The 23,672-nt window shown below is 36.9% G+C and overlaps 1 long non-coding RNA gene across 3 annotated transcripts in view, besides 1 other annotated feature; it reads left to right on the top strand.

Moving 5' to 3' along the window:
• The window catches only part of LOC102724210 (uncharacterized), a 396,780-nt gene that overhangs the window by 259,299 nt on the left and 113,809 nt on the right, over positions 1-23,672 (top strand). For 2 of the 3 annotated variants that reach the window (XR_001741824.3, XR_001741825.2), the window contains one exon: positions 16,764-16,878. The exons of the other annotated variant lie outside the window; for it this stretch is intronic. This is a non-coding gene — a long non-coding RNA (uncharacterized LOC102724210). The remainder of the gene's footprint in view (positions 1-16,763; positions 16,879-23,672) is intronic. 3 annotated transcript variants of the gene reach the window in all.
• Positions 17,326-17,495: an enhancer, noted in NCBI's record as "experimental_73373 CRE fragment used in MPRA reporter constructs". NCBI's record gives its function as "activates a minimal promoter by MPRAs in K562 erythroleukemia cells, with activity observed for both the introgressed and non-introgressed 4:128115002 variant alleles {active_cell/tissue: K562}" and the evidence as "EXISTENCE:reporter gene assay evidence [ECO:0000049][PMID:34662402]".

The following is a 23,672-nucleotide window of genomic DNA, read 5'->3' as shown; positions in this document are numbered from 1 at the left end:
TAAAAATTAATGTGATAATTATTTTGACTGAAGTTCTCTCTAAAAATATGTGTATCTTCTCTCTGTCTCCCTCTTTTTGGTCATAAATCTCCCTGATTAAAAGGAAAATGAGAGATGGGAATTTCCTGTTTTGGGAAATGCACAAGGTCAGGGAAAGGAGATCTCTGGAAGGAGAGCAGCTTATTGGACCTGAGCCTGGGTACGTTTGGCTGGCTGAGGACACTCAAGAGCAGACTAGTAGGAAACCAGCTATGATATTCAGAGGAGAGCTTGCTTGAAGTCAGGTTAGAGTTGACTCAATGCTGGTGCTAAAATTGTTAATGAAAAGACTAGCCAGGAGCCCAGCAGGGTAGGATCTGATTTTCTGGCTTCAATGAGTAGGCAGAATATGTCAGCAGTGGGTGTCTGAGGTTAAGATGTTTTTAGATACCTAAAGCACTGAAAATATTTGTGCTTCCCACACCCAAGTTATTTAAAAATAAAACAGCAGTGTATAATAAACAATTTACGGCAGCATATAGCACAGAATTTACATGATTACTGAAAATAAAAGAGATTTTCTTTACATTTTTTTTCTGATAAAATTATTGAGGATGAACTTTGTTTTTGTGTGTCCCTACCTTGCCATGTCCTAAGCATGTGTGTGGTCTGCCTATTCAGCACTATGTCCAGTCCCGAAGGCAGTGTTGGGTTAGCAGAGAAAATAAGGCCCAGACCATCTAGACTCATCTATAGTCATCGCACAAAGATGAGTGTCTTAGTTTATATCCCCAAATGGTCATTTTAGGATCATCTCTCACATTAATTACATACATTCAAATCCTTATCTCAGGGTTGACCCTGGAAGAATCTAAATTAGACAGTTTGTACTAGAAATGGAGTACTAGGAAGCAGACCCCGGATTAGATCACTAACCTAGCAACTAGAGGCAAAGAAATTCATTTCTGAGGATGTGAGCTGGTAAGACCTCTTGAAAAGTTGTAATATCACAAATACTAACACTGTTCCCTCTGGTGGATTGGGGTGAGATGCAAGTGGAAAGGATATGTAGTGGTTCATGCAATAACTCTATACTTGAAATATGTAGGACCAATTCTATTCATAAAAACTGTCTAGTTGGATGGCTATCATTAATGGTCATAGAAGTCCTGGAGGAGGAAGAAAATAACAGGTTCTTGTCAGCCAAATAGTGCCTTCAGAGGTGGTGTGAGAGCCAGAAGTTCTTCAGACAGTCTTTAGGAACCACTTCTCCAGGAGCCAGACAACAGACTGTGCTAAGAACCAGGCCCAACACTTGATGATAAGGATGGAGAAGTTACAAAGGAAGTTGAACTCATAGCTCTGGAAACTCTCCTATAAGGAATAGAATCTTGAGATCTGAGATAAGCACATTTGCATGGCCAAGGACTTGAGAATTTGATGACTTAGATTCTTTTATGCCTCTGGGCTAGAGGAAATTATGCTCTCTCCCCCATGTTAGAAGATAATAGCCTTTCATTGCCTAGAAACCACTTACAGAGGACATAATGTAGATATTTTGCAGGATGCTTGTTGTCATTCACAAGAGGCCCCCTGCCTCTCCTCATTGCTTAGATTAATAATAAGAGTCAAGATTCAACATGGGCGGAGTAGGGAAGTATTACTCTGCTATGAGATAAAAAGAATTACTCAAGAAAAAAACTGCTCTATCTAGCTAATACGCATCCACAGGAACTAGGGGAAAATACTCGAAACTGAATCCAACAGCACATCAGAAAGCTTACCCACCACAATCAAGTCAGCTTAATCCCTGGGATGCAAGGCTGGTTCAACATATGCAAATCAATAGGTGTAATCCATCACATAAAGACAACTAATGACATAAACCACATGATTATTTCAATAGATGCAGAAAATGCCTTCAATAAAATTCATCATCTCTTCATGTTAAAAACTCTCAATAAACTAGGTCTTGATGGACCATATCTCAAAATAACAAGAGCTATTTAAGACAAACCCATAGCCAGTATCACACTGAATGGGCAAAAGCTGGAAGCATTCCCTTTGAAAACCGGCAAGGGACCAGGATGCCTTCTCTCACCACTGATGTTCAACATAGTATTGGAAGTTCTGGCCAGGGCAATCAGGCAAGAGAAATAAATAAAATGTATTCAAATAAGAAAAGAAGAAGTCAAATTGTCTCTGTTTGCAGATGACATGATAGTATATTTAGAAAACCCCATCTTCTCAGCCCCAAATCTCTTTAAGCTGATAAGCAAATTCAGCAGTCTCAGAATACAAAATCAATGTGCAAAAATCACAAGCATTCCTATACACCAACAATAGACAAGCAACCAAATCATGAATGAACTCCCATTCACAATTGCTACAAAGAAAATAAAATACCTAGGAATAAAACTTATAAGGGACGTGAAGGACCTCTTCAAGGAGAACTACAAACCACTGCTCAAGGAAATAAGAGAGGACACAAACAAATGGAAAAACATTCCATCCTCATGGATAGGAAGAATCAATATCATGAAAATAGCCATACTACCCAAAGTAATTTATAGATTCAATGCTATTCTCATCAAGCTACCATTGACAGTCTTCATAGAAATAGAAAAAACTACTTTAAATTTCATATGGAACCAAAAGAGAGCCCATATAGCCAAGACAATCCTAAGCAAATAGAACAAAGCTGGAGGCATCACGCTACCTGACTTCAAACTATACTACAAGGCTACAGTAACCAAAGCAGCATGGTACTGGTACCAAAACAGATATATAGACCAATGGAACAGAACAGAGACCTCAGAAATAACACTACACATCTATAACCATCTGATCTTTGACAAAGTTGACAAAAACAAGCAATGGGGACAGGATTCCCTATTGAATAAATGGTGCTGTGAAAACTGGGTAGCTATATGCAGAAAACAGAAACTGGACCCCTTCCTTACATCTTATACAAAGATTCACTCAAGATAGATTAAAGACCTAAATGTATAACCCCAAACCATAAAAACCCTAGAAGAAAACCTAGGCAATACCATTCAGGACATAAGCATGGGCAAGGACTTCATGACTAAAACACCAAAAGCAATTGCAGCAATAGCCAAAATTGACAAATAGGATCTAATTAAACTACAGAGCTTCTGCATGGCAAAAGAAACTATCATCAGAGTGAACAGGCAACCTAGAGAATGGGAGAAAATTTTTGCAATCTACCCATCTGACAAAGGTCTAATGTCTGGAATCTACAAGGAATTTAAACAAATTTACAAGAAAAAAAAACAAAGAACCCCATCAAAAAGTGGGCAAAGGATATAAACAGGCATTTCTCAAAAGAAGACGTTTGTGCGGCCAACACACATATGAAAAAAAGGCTTGTCAGCACTGGTCATTACAGAAATGCAAATCAAAACCACAATGAGATACCATCTCAAGCCAGTCAGAATGGCAATTATTGAAAAGTCAGGAAACAATAGATGCTTTTGATGCTGTGGAGAAATAGAAACACTTTTACACTGTTGGTGGGAATGTAAATCAGTTCAACCATTGTGGAAGACAGTGTGGTGATTCCTCAAGGATCTAAAACCAGAAATGCCATTTGACCCAGAAATCCCATTACTGGGTATATACCCGAATATTATAAATGATTCTACTATAAAGACACATGCACACGTATGTTTATTGTGGCACTATTCACAATAGCAAAGACATGGAACCTTCCCAAATGTCCATCAATGTTAGACTGGATAAAGAAAATGTGGCACATATACACCATGGAATACTATGCAGCCATAAAAATGAATGAGATCATGTCCTTTGCAGGAACATGGATGAAGCTGGAAGCCATCATCCCCATCAAACTAACGCAGGAGCAGAAAACCAAACACCACATGTTCCACTCATAAGTTGGAGTTGAACATTGAGAACAGATGGACACAGGGAGGGGAACAACACACACTGAGGCCTATCAAGGGGTGGGGGCAAGGGGAGGGAGAACATTAGGACAAATACATAATGATTTTGGGGCTTAAACCTAGATAATGGTTTGATAGGTTCAGCAAACTAGCATGACACATATATACCTATTTAAAAAACCTGTATGTTCTGCACATGTACCCTGGAACTTAAAATTTAAAAAAATAAGTAAAATTAATTTTTAAAATATGTTTTATTTAACTGAATATATAAAAATATCATTTTAATGTGTAATAAATGAAAATTTATTGAGATCTTTTGTATTTTTATACTAAATATTTAAAAACCATGTGTATTTTATACTTAAAGCATATTTCAGTTTGAAATAGCCTAATTTCAATTGCTTGATAAGCACAGGTGGGCAGGGGCTACCATTTTCATCAGCCTGTATTTACTGCCTTCCCACATGGTGTTTCATAGCCAATAGTAAAAATATGTGCTATTTAGTAAAAGTGTACTCTACATAAATATTGTTAAGTTCTTAAACTAATAAATATTTTATTTTGAAATTGTAAACATGTGGGTCAGCAGGGAATAAAGATGCTCCAAATCTTGCCAAGAATGGGAGAACCGTGATATCTTTAGAAGACACAACAGTGTCTTCATAGGTTCTGTTGTGACTGTATCTTCCTGATTTAATTTTTCCACAATGTCTTAATTTCTGCACGGGAGGAAAATCTTTCTTTTTCTTCTATCCATCGTAGGCTCATTTACTGACAAAAAATGGATTAACAAAACAGATACAAGTTTATTAACAAGGGCATTTTGCATGCACGTGGGAGTATTCAGTGATGAGTAACTCAAAGGAGTGTTTAGAACATGGATTTGTAGAACATCTTAACAATGAACAGTAAATTCATAAAGAAATGACAAGGCAAAGGAAAAGGACTTTGAGCATCCAGGGGTGGATTGTGGGAAGGCAAATATATGTGGAAACTAATGGTGGGTAAGGGCTGGTTGGTAAAATTTGTTATGTGGATTTCTCTCGTGCCTTCTCTGGGCTGATAAGGGGATAGGGTTTTTCTTATGGTTAACGTCTGTCTTTCCTTATAGAGAGTGAGGAAGGACACTTTTATATCCCCTTTTTAGGCAAATGAGGGAGGGCAGAGAGATTTCCTTTTATCTGCTTCTTCTTAATGGCCTTCCCTTATGCCAAAGAGGTATATTTTGGAGTGGCATGTTCTGCCACTTTTCAGTTCCTCCTATCCTGTAAATTCTCCAATCGGAGTTTTTAGAACCATAACCACTTTGATTTGAGAGGGAGTACTTTAGTTAAGGAATTTAATTTGTATAGGTAAATGCTCAGTAAAACATTATTGAAAGGAATTGAATGAACTTAAAGTTAATCATCTTGGAAGTCAGCTGTTTACCCTGGTTATAGTGAAGACTTGAGGATTTTAAAAGAAATTCATTTTTTAATAAGACTCTTTAGTGGTTAAGTTGTAATGGGTATAAAACAGATAAAAAGTAGATTTTATTTCATCAAGAGTTGCCACCAGTAATTTTAGAAGGAATAATTGAAATCTCTTGGGAGAGTTTTGATGATCTCTAGTTGTCATCTTCTAACTCAAAAATTGTATGTATATATGGTATGTATTTCCATGTTACCTACATCTCATTTTAAAAATTATTTCTCTGGAGCTCTTTGCAAGCAGGGAGAGCATTCTTCTTTAGTTCTAGTGTTTAGATTTAAAATTGATAGCTGTTGAATGAATGATAAATAATAATTATACTCTTTGTTTTAATTCTTAGGTGTTTTTTCTTTTTAGTCAGTGTTATAAGGATGAAACAGATGTTGCTGGCCAGGTTGCATCTGACTTGCTAACCTTATAGTGTCAGTTCATTACTAGTTACTCTTAGCAACTATAGTAGATTTTTAGATCCATGTCTTTCATGTTCATAGAAACATATTTTCTTTCCCTTTTCTTTTTTTCCTCAGTTGAACTTTTGCTCTCTTTATATACCACTCTAAATTCCTCTCAAATCTCTTTTATTCTCCTTAATTAAAAAATCATGATGAAGCATAATGGTCTAATATATGTATATATCAAACTCCAGCCTGGCCTACAGATAAGGTTTCAGTTTCGTCTCACTTACTTTGAATTCCTCATGTTTAAAATTAAAATTAAAACCCAATATTTCTCATATATAACAAAGACGAAAAATAATCCAACTTAATAGTCTCAAAACAGCCACATCAAAATCAGAGTGGTTATAGTCTATTAAATTTTAAATATCTGACAAGTTTACATTTTTTCTCTCTTCCTCAGACTCTATAACTCAATGTGTTCTATGTGAAGAAAGTAAATGACACATAGAAGCCACCCTAAATATAGACTCAAGGATTTTATTTATTTGTTTATTTACCAACAGCACAAGTGTAGAATGGATTGGTATCTAGTATTTTGTTGCTACTTCAGTGGCTGAGGGAGATGACTACTACCTTTGAAATATTTTCAGGAAGGATCCAGACTTGATGATCATAAAATCTGGGATTTAGGAAATAGTATTATAGTCTAAAGGAGTGGAAAGAGTAGAAATAAACCTAAACAACAAATTAACAGATTGTTGTGGCATAAGTGTCTGGTAGTGTGGCCAGCTCTCAATTATCCATGGTATTGGAAGCCAGAGATACATGAATAATTGACATCTACTCCTAGTCCAAAAGCCTCAGTTTAATGAACGGTTTCCACATCCTCTTCGTGAACTACCAACAAGGAGCAGAATCGGCTGATTTCTGTTCCAGCAGACTATTTCTCCTGCTCAGCTTTGGGTGGGGTTGCTAATGAGCAATATGCTGTCCAAAAGGCCATGAGCCAGAGAGAAAATGAGGGGAAATCAGTTGCTGGTAGAGTCCACAATTGGATAATCAGCCTCAGAATAATACAGAGTTGACTATATGTCAATTAAAAAGAAGGAGACAAATATTATCCCTTGTGAATATTTGATTGTTAAAAAAAAACTGCCCTCTTCCCACAATCTTTTCATTAGAAACATGTATTCTATGTATCCCAGTGAGTTGATAACTAGTAATAGATCTGTAGTGCTATGCTTAATTGGAATAGCAACTTACTTTTAGAAGTTCACTGCACTGGGATTCTGCACCTTCCTGTGTCAGCAGCCCACATCATGGCTGGTTTGGTATGGTTTCGATACCCCAACATCACCACAATAAGAATAAATGATGCAATTTACTGTGTAGGGATTCCCTCCTGGGAAATGCCTGGCGCCTGAAAGCCTTTCCCGTGCATGTATATTGGCAGTTAAACATTGTTTTTGCATTAAAACAGGGTGAAATTCCAAAATACCACAGAGAGCAAGAAAGAGATGTTTTGCATTTGAGGACAAGGACATGACTGCATAATCTATGTACATTAAAATAAGCATTTTTCCCATTTGAACAACTGCTCCATAATTAAATGTAAATGCCCCATTCCCACATAATATATCCATGCTTGAACATACAGATAATATCCCCATGGAACACCCTGACATGCCCTCCTTTTCTCTCTGTCTTAAACTGGATGAGTAACTATGAAAACATTCCTGAAACAGTCATGCAGTTTTCTCAGGTCTTTGGCCTACAGCTTGATAGAAGCTAGACCATGTCTGAATGAACTCAGAATTCAAGCATGTAAGAGACATAGACATTTTTGACATGGAAAAGTAAAGTCTGAATCTTGAAACTGCTCACAGCCATTCAGTGTATAATCAGTACATTGGTGACTTGAGTGGAAGGATCACAAAACCTTGAAGAAAGGGCTAATTTTTTTAGGTTTATAAGTAAACATGTGTACACATATTCACATACATATACTCCTATATATGCCCATTAAAGGCTGACTTTCTTGTTAAAAATTGAACCATGAGAAAAATGCTCTGGTTATAAAACATGTTTTATTTTTGTGAATTGTAATAGAATACAAACTATCTTCAAAAAATGCCTGATTAATGCATATGTTTCTATTCCATCAACGTTTCTTTGAAAATATAATAATTTCATGTGTAACCGGAATAATAGAGAGTATATTTATAAACGACCAAATTAAAGATGGAAGTAATATTTTTTCTTGCAAGGCTTCCTTGCCAAAACATTATATATATAACAGAAGTCTATAAAAAGGTCATGTTTCACATTACAGATGGGTCTTGACAAAGTAAAGCTGAAGTAAACAGTTTTTAAATGAACGCATTTTACTTTATTGATTACTCTATGACCTATTACATTGCAGACACTAGAAATTTATGTGAGTGGATTGACTATATAGGATGGAAAGTAGAAAAAGAAATTACAATCTGTTCTTTAAACAAATTTATAACATTTTTTGAGGATGAAATATCCAGAGTTTTTTTTTTAAGTTGGAATAAATTTGCTCCTTTTTAACAAAAAAATTAAGGGACATGGCTGGCACCAAAGGATAGATTGATGACAGTGGAAATGAAGGCTATTGTGTATTGAGGACTAGCTGAGGAAATTTGGTAGAAAATGAGAATCAAGGCAAAGGAGGAATAAAACAAGGACGGATAAATGATCCTGAGAAAGTCAAAATGAAGAATACAAGGAACTGGGATCTCAGTAAAGTTCAAGTGAATTTAGTAGGAGTGAAACAACAGAAAGAATGACAGATTTTGTTATGAGTAGAATATCGACATATAAGATTTCACAGGAGGAACTGGGTGATGACAAGGACCAGTCTACAGCCAAGACAGTGTGTTGCGTCCATTCACATTCTCTCACATACATATGGACAAGATCAGGAAGGAGAAGATTTACATTACCTGCTTCCTTAAAGGCATCCTGATACAGCACACTGGAGAAGGACTGGAGAGACTTGCATGGTCTCTGGGCTTTTGTGACACAATTTGGTCTTTTCTTGATAAAGTGAGCGTGAAAATATCTGTTACATTTCTATTTCAGGTATGCTATGAAGAATAAATTATGTATGTGCAAGTCCTTTGAAAGCTGAAAAGTACTATACACAAGTTGAGTATAGCTAAAGAATAATTTTTTAAAAGATCTTGGGATATTTCTTCTCATTAATACAGTGTTGAAAATTTTATGAATGGGAGTTCACTCATGATTTGGCTCTCTGTTGGTCTGTTATTGGTGTATAAGAATGCTTGTGATTTTTGCACATTGATTTTGTATCCTGAGACTTTGCTGAAGTTGCTTATCAGCTTAAGATTTTGGGCTGAGACGATGGGGTTTTCTAGATATACAATCATGTCGTCTGCAAACACGGACAATTTGACTTCCTCTTTTCCTAATTGAATACCCTTTATTTCCTTCTCCTGCCTGATTGCCTTGGCCAGAACTTCCAACACCATGTTGAATAGGAGTGGTGAGAGAGGGCATCCCTGTCTTGTGCCAGTTTTCAAAGGGAATGCTTCCAGTTTCTGCCCATTCAGTATGATATTGGCTGTGGGTTTGTCATAAATAGCTCTTATTATTTTGAGATACGTCCCATCAATACCTAATTAATTGAGAGTTTTTAGCATGAAGGGCTGCTGAATTTTGTCAAAGGCCTTTTCTGCATCTATTGAGATAATCATGTGGTTTTTGTCTTTGGTTCTATTTATATGCTGGATTATGTTCATTGATTTGTGTATGTTGAACCAGCCTTGCATCCCAGGGATGAAGCCTACTTGATCATTGTGGATAAGCTTTTTGATATGCTGCTGGATTCAGTTTGCCAGTATTTTATTGAGGATTTTTGCATCGATGTTCATCAGGGGTATTGGTCTAAAATTCTCTTTTTTTGTTGTGTCTCTGCCCGGCTTTGGTATGAGGATGATGCTGGCCTCATAAAATGAGTTAGGGAGGATTCCCTCTTTTTCTATTGATTGGAATAGTTTCAGAAGGAATGGTACCAGCTCCTCCTTGTACCTCTGGTAGAATCTGGCTGTGAATCCGTCTGGTCCTGGACTTTTTTTGGTTGGTAAGCTATTAATTATTGCCTCAACTTCAGAGCCTGTTATTGGTCTATTCAGAGATTCAACTTCTTCTTGGTCTAGTCTTGGGAGGGTGTATGTGTCGAGGAATTTATCCATTTCTTCTAGATTTTCTAGTTTATTTGCATAGACGTGTTTATAGTATTCTCTGATGATAGTTTGTATTTCTGTGGGATCGGTGGTGATATCCCCTTTATTATTTTTTATTGCATCTATTTGATTCTTCTCTTTTTTCTTCTTTATTAGTCTTGCTAGCAGTCTATCAATTTTGTTGATCTTTTCAAAAAACCAGCTCCTGAATTCATTGATTTTTTGAAGGGTTTTTTGTGTCTCTATCTCCTTCAGTTCTGCTCTTAGTTATTTCTTGCCTTCTGCTAGCTTTTGAATGTGTTTGCTCTTGCTTCTCTATTTCCTTTAATTGTGATGTTAGGGTGTCAATTTTAGATCTTTCCTGCTTTCTCCTGTGGATGTTTAGTGCTATAAATTTCCCTCTACACACTGCTTTGAATGTGTCCCAGAGATTCTGGTTTATTGTGTTTTTGTTCTCGTTGGTTTCAAAGAACATCTTTATTTCTGCCTTCATTTCGTTATGTACCCAGTAGTCATTCAGGAGCAGGTTGTTCAGTTTCCATGTAGTTGAGCAGTTTTGAGTGAGTTTCTTAATCCTGAGTTCTAGTTTGATTGCACTGTGATCTGAGAGACAGTTTGTTATAATTTCTGTTCTTTTACATTTGCTGGGGAGTGCTTTACTTCCAACTATGTGGTCAATTTTGGAATAGGTGTGGTGTGGTGCTGAAAAGAATGTATATTCTGTTGATTTGGGGTGAAGAGTTTTCTTTATCCAGTCAACCTTTGAGGGACACTCCGGTGGCATCCATGACTTGCTGTTGTTAATAGTGCTGCAGTAAACATACTAGTGCAGCTATCTTTATTTAATATAATAATTTCTTTTGCTTTGGGTAGATGCCCAGTAGTGGTGTAGCAGGGTCAAGTGGTAGTTCTATTTTAAGTTCTTTGAGAAATCTCCATACTCTTTTCCATAGATGTCATAACAATTTACATTTCCTCCAACGTTTTATAATTATTTCCTTTTCTCCACATACACTCTAACACATGTTGTTTTTTGACCTTTTAATAATACCCCTTCTGAGGTTTAAGATGATACCTCAAGGTGAATTTCATTTGCATTTCTCTGATGATTAGTGATGTTGCACATTTTTGTTTGTTGGTTGCTTGTAAGTCTTCTTCTGAGAAATGTCTATTCCTGTCTTTTGCCCATTTTGTAATGGTTTTATTTTATTTTTGTCTTGTTGAGCTGTTTGAGTTCCTTGTAGATTCTGGATATTAATCCTTTGCCTGACATATAATTTCCAAACATTTTCTCCCATTCTGTAGGTTGTCTGTTTACTCTGTTGAATATTAGTTTTGCTGTGCAGAAAATTTTTAGTTTAATAAGTATCATTTATGTATTGTTGTTTTGTTGCATTTGCATTTGGGGTCTTAGTCATAAATTCTTTACCTAGGCCAATATCCAGAAGAGTTTCTCCTGGGCTTTTCTTTAAGACTTCAGTCATTTCAGGTCTTATATTTAGGTCTTTAATTCACCTTGAGTTAATTGTTTAGATGGTGAGAGATAAAAGCCCGTTTCATTTTACAGCATATGGCTAGCCAATCTTCCCAGCACCACTTATTGAATAGGGTGTTCTTTCGCCATTGTTTATTTTTGACAACTTTGCCAAAGATCAGCTGGTTGTACAGGTGTGGCTTTATTTCTAGGTTCTCTATTCTATTCCATTAATCTATGTGTCTCTTTTTATGCCAGTACCATGCTGTTTTAGTTACTATAGCCTTGTGGTATAATTTGAAGTCAGGTAATTTCTTCCAACTGAAAAAAAAAAAAAACCTCTGGATATTTTATCCTCAAAAAATGTTATAAATTTTTTTAAAGAACAGATTATAATTTCTTTTTCTACTTCGCCCCTTTCCATCCTATATAGTCAATGCACTCACATAAATTTCTATCTTTTTCATTTAGGCATTTAATGCTAAAAAAATTCAGGTAGTGTTGTGCCTCTGGTTTTGTTCTTTGTGTTAAGGATTGCTTTGGCTATTCAGCAGTTCTGTGGTTCCATACAAATTCTAGGATTGCTTTTTATAATTCAGTGAAGAATGACATTGGTACTTTTTGATAGGAATTGCACTGAATTTATAGATTGCTTTTGGCGGTAAGTTCATTTTAATGGCATTGATTCTTCCAATTCATGAGCATGAAATGTTTTCCCATTTGTTTGTGTCAGGTATGATTTCTTTCATCAATGTTTTGTAGTTCTCCTTGTGGAGATTTTTCACTGCTTGACTAAATGTATTTCTAGATTTTTTTTTGTGTGTGTGGTTATTGTAAATGATATTAAGTTCTTGGTTTGGTTCTCAGCTTTAACATTGTTGGTGTATAGAAATGCTACTTTTTATAAATTGATTTTGTATCCTGAAACTTCACCGAAGTTGTTTATCAGGTCTAGGAGTCTTTTGGAGGAATCTTTAGGGTTTTTTATGTGTAAGATCATGTTATCAGTAAAAAGAGATAATTTGACTTCCGCTTTTTCCATTTGGATTTTGTATTTCTTTCTCTTGTCTGATTACTCTGGCTAGAAATTCCAGGACCACAATGAATAAGAGTGGTAAGAGTGGGCATTCTTGTCTTGTTTCAGTTCTCGAGGAGAATGCTTCCAGTTATTGCCCATTCAGTATGATGTTAGCTGTGGGTTTGTCATAAATGGTTCTTATTATTTTGAGGTGTTACTTCAATGCTCAGTTTGTGGAGGGTTTTTATCGTGAAACCATGTTGGGTCTCATCAAATGCTTTTTCTAGGTCTATTGAAATGATCATATGGTTTTTGTTTTTAACTCTGTTCATGTGGGGAATTGCATTTATTGATTTGCAAATGTTGAATCATCTTTGCATTCCTGGGATAAAAGCCACTTGAATATGACAAATTATTTTGTTGATGTGCTGTTGGATACAGTTTGATAGAATTTTGTTGAGGATTTTTGCATCTATGTTCATCAGCAATATTGACTTGTAGTTTTCCATTTTTGTTGTTTCCTTGCCTGATTTTGGTATCAAGGTGATGCTGGCTTCATTGAATGGGTTAAGGAGGAGTCCCTCCTCCTAGGTTTGTGGAATATTTTCAGTAAGATGGGTATCAGCTCTTCTTTGTACATATGGTAAAATTTGGCTGTGAATCTATCTGGTCCCAGGCATTTTGCTTTGAAAATTTTTTATTTCTAATTTAGTTTTATTACTCATCCTTGGTCTGTTCAGGATTTCTGTTTCCTCCTCGTTCAATCTTGGGACATTGTATGTTCCAGGAATTTATCCGTTTCCTCTAGGTTTTCTAGTTTGTGCACATGGAGACGTTCACAGTAATCTCTCCTTATCTTTTGTATTTCTGTGGTATCATTTATAATGTCATCTTTATCATTTATGATTGTGCTTGTTTGAATCTTCTCTTTTTTCCTGGTTATACTGGCTAGCAGTCTATCAATTTTGTTTATCCTTTCAAAGAACCAATTTTTGTTGATCCTTTGTATCATTTTATTGGTCTCAAACTTATTTAGTTCTGCTCTGATTTTTTTATTTCTTTTCTTCTGCTATCCTTGGGTTTGGTTTATTCTTGCTTTCCTAGTCCTCTGAGGTATGACATTAAGTTTCTATCTTTTTAATTTATATTATAAATTTCTATATTTTTTATTTAGGCATTTAATGCTATAAACTTTCCTCGTAGCAGTGCTTTTGCTGTATCCCAGAGGTTAGGATATGTTATGTCTTTATTTTCATTTGTTTCAAAAAATATTTGATTTCTACCTTAATTTCATTGTCTACCCAAAAGTCATTCAAGTGTAAGAGGGATGGATGGGACAAAGCTGGGTGGTGCTGAGTCAGTCCAGTCCTTAATCAGGCTCTGGAGGGGGAGTGTATGCATTGACCTTCATGAGGGTCTGGGGTCCCAGTTCTCAGGCTTTTGGGACAAGCCTTCAGGGCAGGGTGGAGGTGCCTCTTCTTTGCCAGAATCTGCTCAGGGGAAGGATCTGCCTGGGGTTTTCAGCAAAGCAGGCAGCTGTGGGTCCTGCTCAGCTCCGGCTCTGGGGAAGTGGGACAGGCCAGCAGATATTTCCCCTGACCCCTTGAGGTCAAGCACCAGCTGTGATGGAGCCAGAGTTGGGGGTGAACTGCTCTCAATCCACCAACAAATCGCTCAGGTCAGGGCAATGGAGATTATGCTGTGGACCTCCTGTGGAATGATCAGACAGGCAGTCTTGGGAGGGAATGGCAGGCATGGGGGTTTGTGGCTCAGATGCACTTTGTTCCTGTGACAATGGCAGTGCGGTCTGTCTTAGAGGCATGAACATGTCTGGGGCAGCTCTATCGTGCCAGACAGAGAACAGGAACACTTAGGGAAGGACACAGAGCCTTTGCTGGGATGGGTGCCCAGAGTCGCATTTTCAGGCAGCTGCCCAGTGCACTGAAGCCTTTTGGGCTCCATTAGAGTTCAAGCAGTGCCCGTGTGTTCTCCCAGCAGCTGCCCCTGCCAGTCCAAAGATCTGAGGGGATCGTGGGGACTCCTGTAGCTAAGATCTCAGAGGTCCACAGTGGTAATGTGGTGCCTGGGGGTTCCTTTACTCACCCCTGACTTGGGTCTAGTCTGGGTTTAGGAGTTATTCCCAGCACTGGCAACATGAAGCAGGCAGCCCCACTTCTTCCCTCTTCAATCACCATGTTTTCTGTCACCTCTGTATTAAATTTTGGTGTTTTTTCTCAAAAGATTTGTTTGAAGTGTGGAGATTTACTTGATATTTTGGATCCTCTCAGTGAAAGAGGTGCATCCCAGCTGCATCTAGTCAGCCATCTTAAATCCTTCTCCAAGAACAAATTTTTAAATGTCAAAGTGACCTCACTGTGAACTGAAAAGTTAGGAAATTTTTTTAGCAAATAAAATAAGCATCTTAATTGGTGAAATAAAGGCCTTAATTGTTAAGATTGAAACCTTACCTTGAAAGTTCTTTGCCTCAGACCTGATTCCCAACTCCCCATGTCCCCCTGGTGATGGAAGCTTGTTGTTTCTTTTTGGAAACTGAGAGGATAACTTGGAATTAAAATACCACTACCCATTCACCTAACCCAGAGTTTTGCCGCTGTTGGAAATTCTTGTTTTCACAACCCAATTGCAAGACTAGATCTTCATAATAAAGACTAGATCCTAATGAATAAAGATGTTGACTTAGATTGACCCAATTTGCTATGATACACTGATCACTTTTATTTGGACTTCTGGCTGTCTTTCCTGAGGTTAGCCCCACAGCCCGGTTTCCAAAATTCTTGTCCCACCATCTTCAATCTTTCATGTATTTCCATTTTATCTGATGTAGAGGTTTCAGCAAGCCTTGTTGTGATCCTTCATGGCTATAGCATTTGAAAATGATTTAGAAGGTAAAAAACAAACCAAACAAAAAAAATGCATCAGTTTTCTTTAGCAGGAGAGTAATAATTGAAGTTACGATCTTTTTTGAGTCTTCTTCAAAGTATACATTTCAAAACTCTTATGTGTAATTCGTCTTATCTGGTGTTTAGGTTGACAGAAGTATTGCTTGATCTAGCAATAATTTGCAATGGATGGAATATTGCAACATCAATTGTCTTAAGATGTATTTTCCAAGGTAGCAAAATAAAATAAAAAAATACCTCGTTATGAGAACAAATTTGGGATGAAGTCATAAAGAGTTTTAGCTTGCTTTAGATGCCAATGAAAAAAGAACCATAAAATTGCCTTCTCTGACCTATTCTGTCTTGTAGGCAATTTTACATTCATTTGCAAATGTTACTGCATAGTAAAACAATTACATTTGGGGAAAAACATATGGAGGTTGAGGTCCTGATACTACATTCCTCTCCTTTAAGCCCCTGCTTTTTCCCTCCCTAACTTGCATACAGAGAAACCATCAATAGTTTCCAGCTGGCTATCTGTACTAAAATTTTTCAGAAAAAGAAAATCCCGACTTGAAAACCTTTCTGATGATCTCTTTGAAAAACTATGGAATTTTAAGTTTCTTGCAGGATGCTGAAATAATAATAATAATAAATAAAAAGAAAAAAGAAAAAAGGCTCACTTGAGTTTTATGCTGATGAAAAGAAGTTTAGATATCTCTTGGACCTGCATCTAACAAGAATACCACAATTATCAATAGCAAGACCTGTGGAGCTAAATTTTACCCCACTGTCAGCAAAGAATGAGTTTGCTGCAATGTATTAAGCTTATCTTTGACAAGTTTAAGACACCATAATGAAGTGGTTGCATGGGACAGACAGATAAAGTAATTCATCAGATAAATCAGTTCTTTATCCTATTCATGCTTATGTTTAAAAACTAAGTCCGTGAGAGGAATGGGGTGGAGAGATATTCCTTTGTTATAGTGTTTTCCACAGCTTTCTCTTTTATATGGTCCAAGTTTTTGTATACATTATACAAAGTATGGTAAGACCCAGGAAAAAGTTTTGTAAACTATGAAGTGCTTCGCAAATATATGTTAGGAGTGAAAAACAATAAGGCAGATTCCTTGATACTAATATTCAACTCTGCTATGGAATGAGTTGTGGCACCCTCACCCCTATTCGTATATTTTATGCTGAAGCCCTAACCCCCAATGAGATTGCATTTGAAGAAGAGGCCTGTTGGGAGATGGTAAAAATTAAATGAGGTCCTAAGGGTAGGGCATAATCTGATAGGGCTGGTGCCCTTATAAGAAGAAAAGAGACACCAGAGCTTTCTCTTTCTATGCATACTTAGGAAAGGCCATGTGACCACACACCAAGAAGCTAGCTGTCTGCCAGCCAGGAAGAGAGCCCTGACCAGTAATCAAATTGGCTGAAGACTTGATCTTGGACTCCTTGTCTCCAGAAATGTGAGAAAATAAAAATTTCTGTTAAGTCACTTGATCTATGGTATTTTGTTATGGCAGCCTGAACTAATTATTATAAGTTCATTTAATAAATATTTGCTTAGAATCTACAGTGTTCTAGGAACTGTTTAGGACAGTGGTCAGCAAACTAGAGCTCATGAGCCAAATTTGGCCCGCTTCCTGTTCCTTGTAAATAAAATTTTCATTTTATTTACTCATTTATTTATTTTTTAGAGATGAGGTCTTGCTATGTTGTTCAGAGTGAAGTGCAGTGGCTATTCACAGGCACGATCATAGCAGACTATATCCTCCAACTCCTGGCCTTAAGTGATCCTTCTGCCTTAGCTTTCTAAGCAGTTGGAACTACAGGAACATACCACCGTGCTAGGCTTATAAACAAAATGTTATTGGAACACTGCTACACCTAATTTTTTACATATTGTCCATGACTGCTTTCATGATACAATGGCACAGTTGAGTACAACAGAGATTGTGTGGACCATAAAGCCCAAAATATTTGCCATCTAGCTCTTTATAGAAAACGAAATATTGTCTAGCCTTGGTCTGGAATTTTGGAATATGGCAGTCATAACCATACTCCACAACATTTCAGATTCAACAATTATCTTTTTTTTTCTTGCAGTTACTTGGGAGAAATTATAGAAGTGATTTTCTTCCTTTGGATTTAAAGCACTGATTGGTTGTTGTACCATCAGCTAATCTCAGCTAGATATGCTGTTTCCTTTCATTGCCTCATAGGGACAGATTGATAACCAATTTGGCAAGATTAGGAAAGGCTTCCCATAATTAAAAAAAAAACCTGAATGTTTTGTCTTTGAGTTTGAAAAATTCAGGCCCATATGGTCCATTAATTTCTAACCTCTAAAGCAAGGCACGTAAAGAGACTCTGTGATGTACATGTTTAACAATAGACTTCCTAGGGGAAAAAAAAAGGCCTTGATATGTAGCATTTGCCTATTTCCATAGCACAAATACTCCCATAGCATGAATGATTTCAAGTTACCCACATGTCACTGAACACAGATTTGGGGATTTGGGAAAAGATGTGTAGTGGCTAACCATTTCACCATATTGATAAAATAGGGGCATAGAAAATTGCAAACTCCAAAATAATAACAAAGTGACAAACTTTGAGTTTCATTTTTTTAATATAGTCTGTTTAATGGTAAGTATATAATTTAATTTTTAATATTAGTTGTATTTAATAACAGGCATGCAAAATTCTTGAAAATTTAATGATCTGCTTTCATGAGCTGGTGCAAGCAGGCCCAGCGTACCACTGGACTTGAAGTTTAAACTCTTTTTGCAATTTTTCCTTATTCCAAGTATTTTGTATTCAAAGATAAATAAATGTAGAAATATGGATTGATAAAAATATAAGGTCAGAGACAGAGTAATTCCTATTTTTTATTCTTTTAAAAATTAACATGAGATAATTAACTGTGGGTTGCACTTGGAAATGAATTCATCTTTCTTAGAGTCATAAGATCTTTGAGTTGGGGAACAGACTTAGAAAATACTTTCTTCATTCGTTTCCTTGATCAATAAGGAAATTGAGACCCCAACTGGGTCAGAGATTTGCCCCAGATCACTTCATAAGGGAGTGTGGAGCCAAGAAGAACAAGTTCAGTGATCTTTTCATTGCATCAGGCTGCCTTTGAGGATTTCGTTGATCCTCAGAAGGGTGTCTAATTCTCATACTAGTGGTAAAAAACGTCATTTGATATAAAAGAGTGCTACAGATTTAAAGTAGCACCAAAAAGAGGAAGGTTGAGTTTTTAAACTCCCAGAATCTAGAAAAATTAATTTCAATTTTACATTGCTGGAATTTAAGTTTTAATGTTAGTTATGTTTTTCATTTCCTCAAGTTCGTGCATATTAAATAGGTAATACTGTTGTAGAATGAGTTTTAGTGGTGATAGCTAAGAGGGTGTGAATACCTGTTTGTTGAATTATTAAAAAGAAATGAATCATTTCATTTAATCCTTGCAATGCAAGGATTAAAAATTTTGAGTGGATTAGTTCATCTGTCTGTCACTAACAGATACACTGAAGCAGAATTCATTTACTGATGCCCTCATTAAGTATTCACTGAGCGTCTCTTTTGTATTGGGCACTGTTCTAGACACTAGGGATACAGAGGTGAATGCAGCACTGTTTCTACCTTCATGGAATTTACATCCTATTGGGGAAAGCAAAGTAGAGCAGCAAAGAAAACAGTGACAGACTGGGAGAGCTGTTGTATGTAGGGTGTTCAGGGAAGTCCTCTCTGAAAAAAGGTGACATTAAAACAGAAACCTGAAAAAGATAAGAAAAGAGTCATGTGAATAACTGAAAAGAACAAATGCAAAGTCCCTGAGGCTGAAGAACGACTGGTGTGTTCAAGAAAATGGAGGCCAGTGCTGATGGATGCTGAGAGGGAGAGAGGGGAACATGGTCACTGGAGTCAGATCATATAATGCCTGTAGGCCATGGTCAGCAGTTATATTTTACTCTGTGAAGGGATGCCATTGGACTATTATGTAAATTTCAAAAAAAAAAAAAAATATATATATATATATATATCATTCTGGCTACATTGCAGAGTAGACTGTAGGGTTAGGGAGAGAGAAGATCCAAGCAGTGAAACTAGGTAGTAGAATATTATAATGCTATAGGTTAGAGAGATGGTGGCTTTGTTTCAAGTCAGTGCTTTGCAACGTTGGCTCCTCTTAAAGAACTTCTAAAAATTACGAATTTCAAACCCAGAGCAAGTAAATAAAACTATATGGCCCAGAATTTCGAGGTTGCAGTGCGGTATGATCGCACCACTGCACTCCAGCATGGGCAACAGAGTGAGACCCTATCTCTAAATATGTATATCTCTCATAGATAGAAATACCTATATATCTACATAAAGATACATATAGGCAGGACCCAGCATCGATAATTTTAAATCTCCCCAAGTGATTTTCAATGAGCAAGCAAGGTTGAGAACAAGTGTAATAATTGAGGTAATGACCATGGATGCGAATAGAAAGTGATTGGATTCTAGCTATATCAAATCATGTGTTCAACAGGATTTTCTTATTGGTTAGATGTGTGACATGAGCAAACAAAACCAGCAAAGGATTATTCAAAAATTTTTGGCCTGGGCAACTGGCAAATAGTTAGATGAGAAAACTTAAAAAAAAATCCGAAACAAATCTCTCGTTTTCACATAGTTGTCAAATTTACTCAAAATTGTGATGGATGGCACCATCTTCTATAACATGTACTTTCATATACACTTTGGAAAGAAAATGTATTTGATTCTTATTATATACATATATACATATATTATGTATGATATATAAATAATATTCTAATGTATCAAGATCAGAAAACAGAACCAGGGTAATTATTTTAGCAGAGTGATCGAAATATATGCAATTGTTCAACAGGAGTTGGGAGAACATTCTAAGGCAGAAAGAAGACACTAAGGGAACATAAAAGTCATAACCACAAAAAGTGGCCTCCATGCTTCTTGATGGGGGAACCAAGGGAAGAAGTGAGTGTTATCAGATGCTAGAATCTCAGAACCCAGGAACCCAGAACCAGAAACTAAACATCGAGAAGAGAAGGGTGCCCAGCTGCTGCTGCTACTGCAGGAGAACAAAGGAAGGGCCTTGTGGAACTGGGACGCAGACTGCTAATGGAAAGGTGCTGCCAGCTGATGCTGGTACATTTAGGATGGTGTGATAAGGCAGATTCTGGGAGAATCACAATGGCTAGAGCCAACTCTTTCTGGAACCAAGTTCTACTGCCAGGACTGAAGGGCAGTTCCTGGAGTGATAACATCAGAAAGAGCAAGCAAAGAGAAAGGAGCATGTCAGTTCTTTCCCTCTCTGGTCTTCCGGTCTTGATCTAGTGTCTCTACTAGTAGAAGTTAATATAGAGGCAGCTGGCAAAGGAGAAATGCGGTTTGCTGAGTCCCAGCCCCAGCATTACAAACCAGAGTGTGTAAGTGCAGAGCTTAACAACTGGCTGTAGTTCACCCATTGACTACTTACCATCCATACACATCTGCATATTTGAACTTCCATAAACAACAATAATCATCCTAAGTCCTAGCTTAACAAGGTGCAAATAACCTTCATAAAAAGGAAGATTCATTCTCTCTCTCTCTCTCTCTCCATCTCTCTTGCTCTGTCTCCAAATAGAAGGCTCAATGTCCCAAAGGTTACAGCATCCATCTCAGGGAAGCCACGCTATCCATCCCTACATGATGTTAATTACTCCTTAAGTTTAGTCATTGTTCCATTTCAATATCTGTAATAAAAAACTAACTTGAAAGTTAACCAGCCACAACAATTCTTATATAAAAGAATAAAAGGAAAGGGGAAGAAAGGAAAAATAATAGTACAATTCTAATTTCTGTAGGTGGTCACAAGGCCATAGTTGGTATTCATGATGTCCTTCTTCCACTACCCATATATCCTTCTTTAGCTTCGACATACTGTTCAATATTCTTTACCTTGTGGAGTGACCCCAATCTTCATTTCTGAAGTGTCTGAATTTTCAGTGGCCCAGCCTTTGCTGTTGTTGCTACTGTAGTTTTACATTAACTTTTACTATTGGATGTGGAACTTCTAACAGGTGTTCCAGAGAATCCTCTGGGTTCTGAAAATTGTCTTTCCTCTTCCCATTTTTGTAGCAACAATCTACTATTCTCTTGATATCAGAATCTATCATCCTAGCCAGTAGAGCAATCCACATCTTTGCCTGTCGGTTTAGTGGCAGGAGGAGCCCAAAATGACTGATAGAAATCTCAACTTTCAAGTGAGTCTTTTAGTGTAATAGTAGGAGTCACTCTCACGACTTCCCCTTGAATCTCAGACCCATGTATTCTAACTATGGGAGAAAAAAATGACTCAAATATATACTGCATTCTGTAAGACAGAACCCAGTTGTTTCTGGGCTTTGTCTGGCAACTGGTGCTATAACTCAGGCTTCAGTTTGCTAGTCCGCCATTCTGTCAGGCAAGATGCTTCCAGTTAATTAGGTAACTATTAAGACCTGTGAATTCCTGAGTATAAACCCATTTTCATGCTTCCTTTGGTGTTAAAATTAGTTCACAGTAAATAGCAATGATGTGTAGAGTACCATGATGATCAATAAGCATTCCATATATCTAATGACATTAGTGCTGGCAGAAGTATTATAGACTATGGAGGCAAAGCCACATACAGAATCTGTGTCTACTTGTGAGGACAAACCATACTCTTCCTGATAGAAAGGGTCTAATGTATAAACCTCACATCCAGTAGCTGACTGGTTTCCTTAGGGAATAGTGCCATCTTGGGGTCTCAACACTGTTTCTGTTGTTGGCAAGGTAGATACAGAAAGTCAGTAGCCTTCTGAGCAAGTACTTGAATGGTTGAGTAGAGATGCTGAATGACATATGTAGAACATATTATCTGTGTATCTAATTAGTGAGAGCTTCCTCTGCATTTAATGCTCTTTGGTAAGCATTCACGTGTGGCAAAGATATTCTCTACAAAGTAGAGTTAGCTACTGACCACAAGTCACTTTATATATTTTTTTTAATTTTTAATTGTTGTGGGTCTATAATAGGTATATATATTTATAGAGTATGTGAGGATACAGACATGTAATGCATAATAACCACATCAGGGTAAATGGGGTAACCATCCACTCAAGCATTTATCATTTGTGTTACAAACAATCCAATTATACTTTTAGTTATTTTAAAATATACAATCAAATTATTATTGACTGTAGTCACCCTGTTCTGCTATACTAGGGCTTGCTGTTTTTTTCTAACTATTTTTTTTGTGCCCATTAACCATCCCCACTTTTTCTTCAGCCCCCCAGTTACCCTTTCCAGCCTCTGGTAATCATTCTTCTAGTCTTTATCTCCTTGAGTTTGACTGTTTTAATTTTTAGCTCCTACAAATCAGTGAGGACACATCAAATTTGTCTTTCTGTGCCTGGCTTATTTCACTTAACATAATGACCTCCAGTTTCATCCATGTTGTTGCAGATGATGGGATCTCATTCTTTTTTAATGGCTGAATAGCACTCCATTGTGTATATGTATCACATTGTCTTTATCCATTCATCTATTGATGGATGCTTAGGTTGCTTCCAAATCATGGGTCTTATGAACAGTGCTATAACAAACATGGGAGTGCAAATGTCTTTTCAATATTCTGATTTCCTTTCTTTTGGGTATATACCCAGGAGTGGAGTTGCTGGATCATATAATGTCTCTATTTTTCATTTTTTGGGGAACTTCCAAACTGTTCTCTTTCTTTTGGGTATATACCCAGGAGTGGGGTTGTTGGATCACATAATAGCTCTATTTTTCAATTTTTGGGGAATTTCCAAACTGTTATCCACAGTGGTTATACTAGTTTTGATTCCCACCAACACTGTACAAGGGTTCCCTTTTTGCTACATCCTCTTCAGCATTTGTTGTTGCCTGTCTTTTGGATAAAGACCATTTTAACTGGGGTTAGATGATATTTCAATGTAGTTTTGATTTGCATTTCTCTAGTGATCAGTGATATTGAGCACTTTTTCTTATGCCTGTTTGCCATTTGCATGTCTTCTTTTGAGAAATGTGTATTCAGATCTTTTGCCCATTTTTAAATTAAATTATTAGAATTTTCCCTATAGAGTTGTTTGAGCTCCTTATATATTCTGGTTATTAATCCTTTGTCAGAAAGGTAGTTTGCAAATACTTTCTTCCATTTTGTGAGTTGTCACTTCACTTTTTCTATTGTTTCTGT

This window comes from Homo sapiens, chromosome 4, assembly GCF_000001405.40.
Source record: "Homo sapiens chromosome 4, GRCh38.p14 Primary Assembly".
NCBI classification, from domain to species: domain Eukaryota; kingdom Metazoa; phylum Chordata; class Mammalia; order Primates; family Hominidae; genus Homo; species Homo sapiens.
Note: the sequence above shows the minus strand (reverse complement) of the source record. Positions and strands in the feature narration are given on the sequence as shown.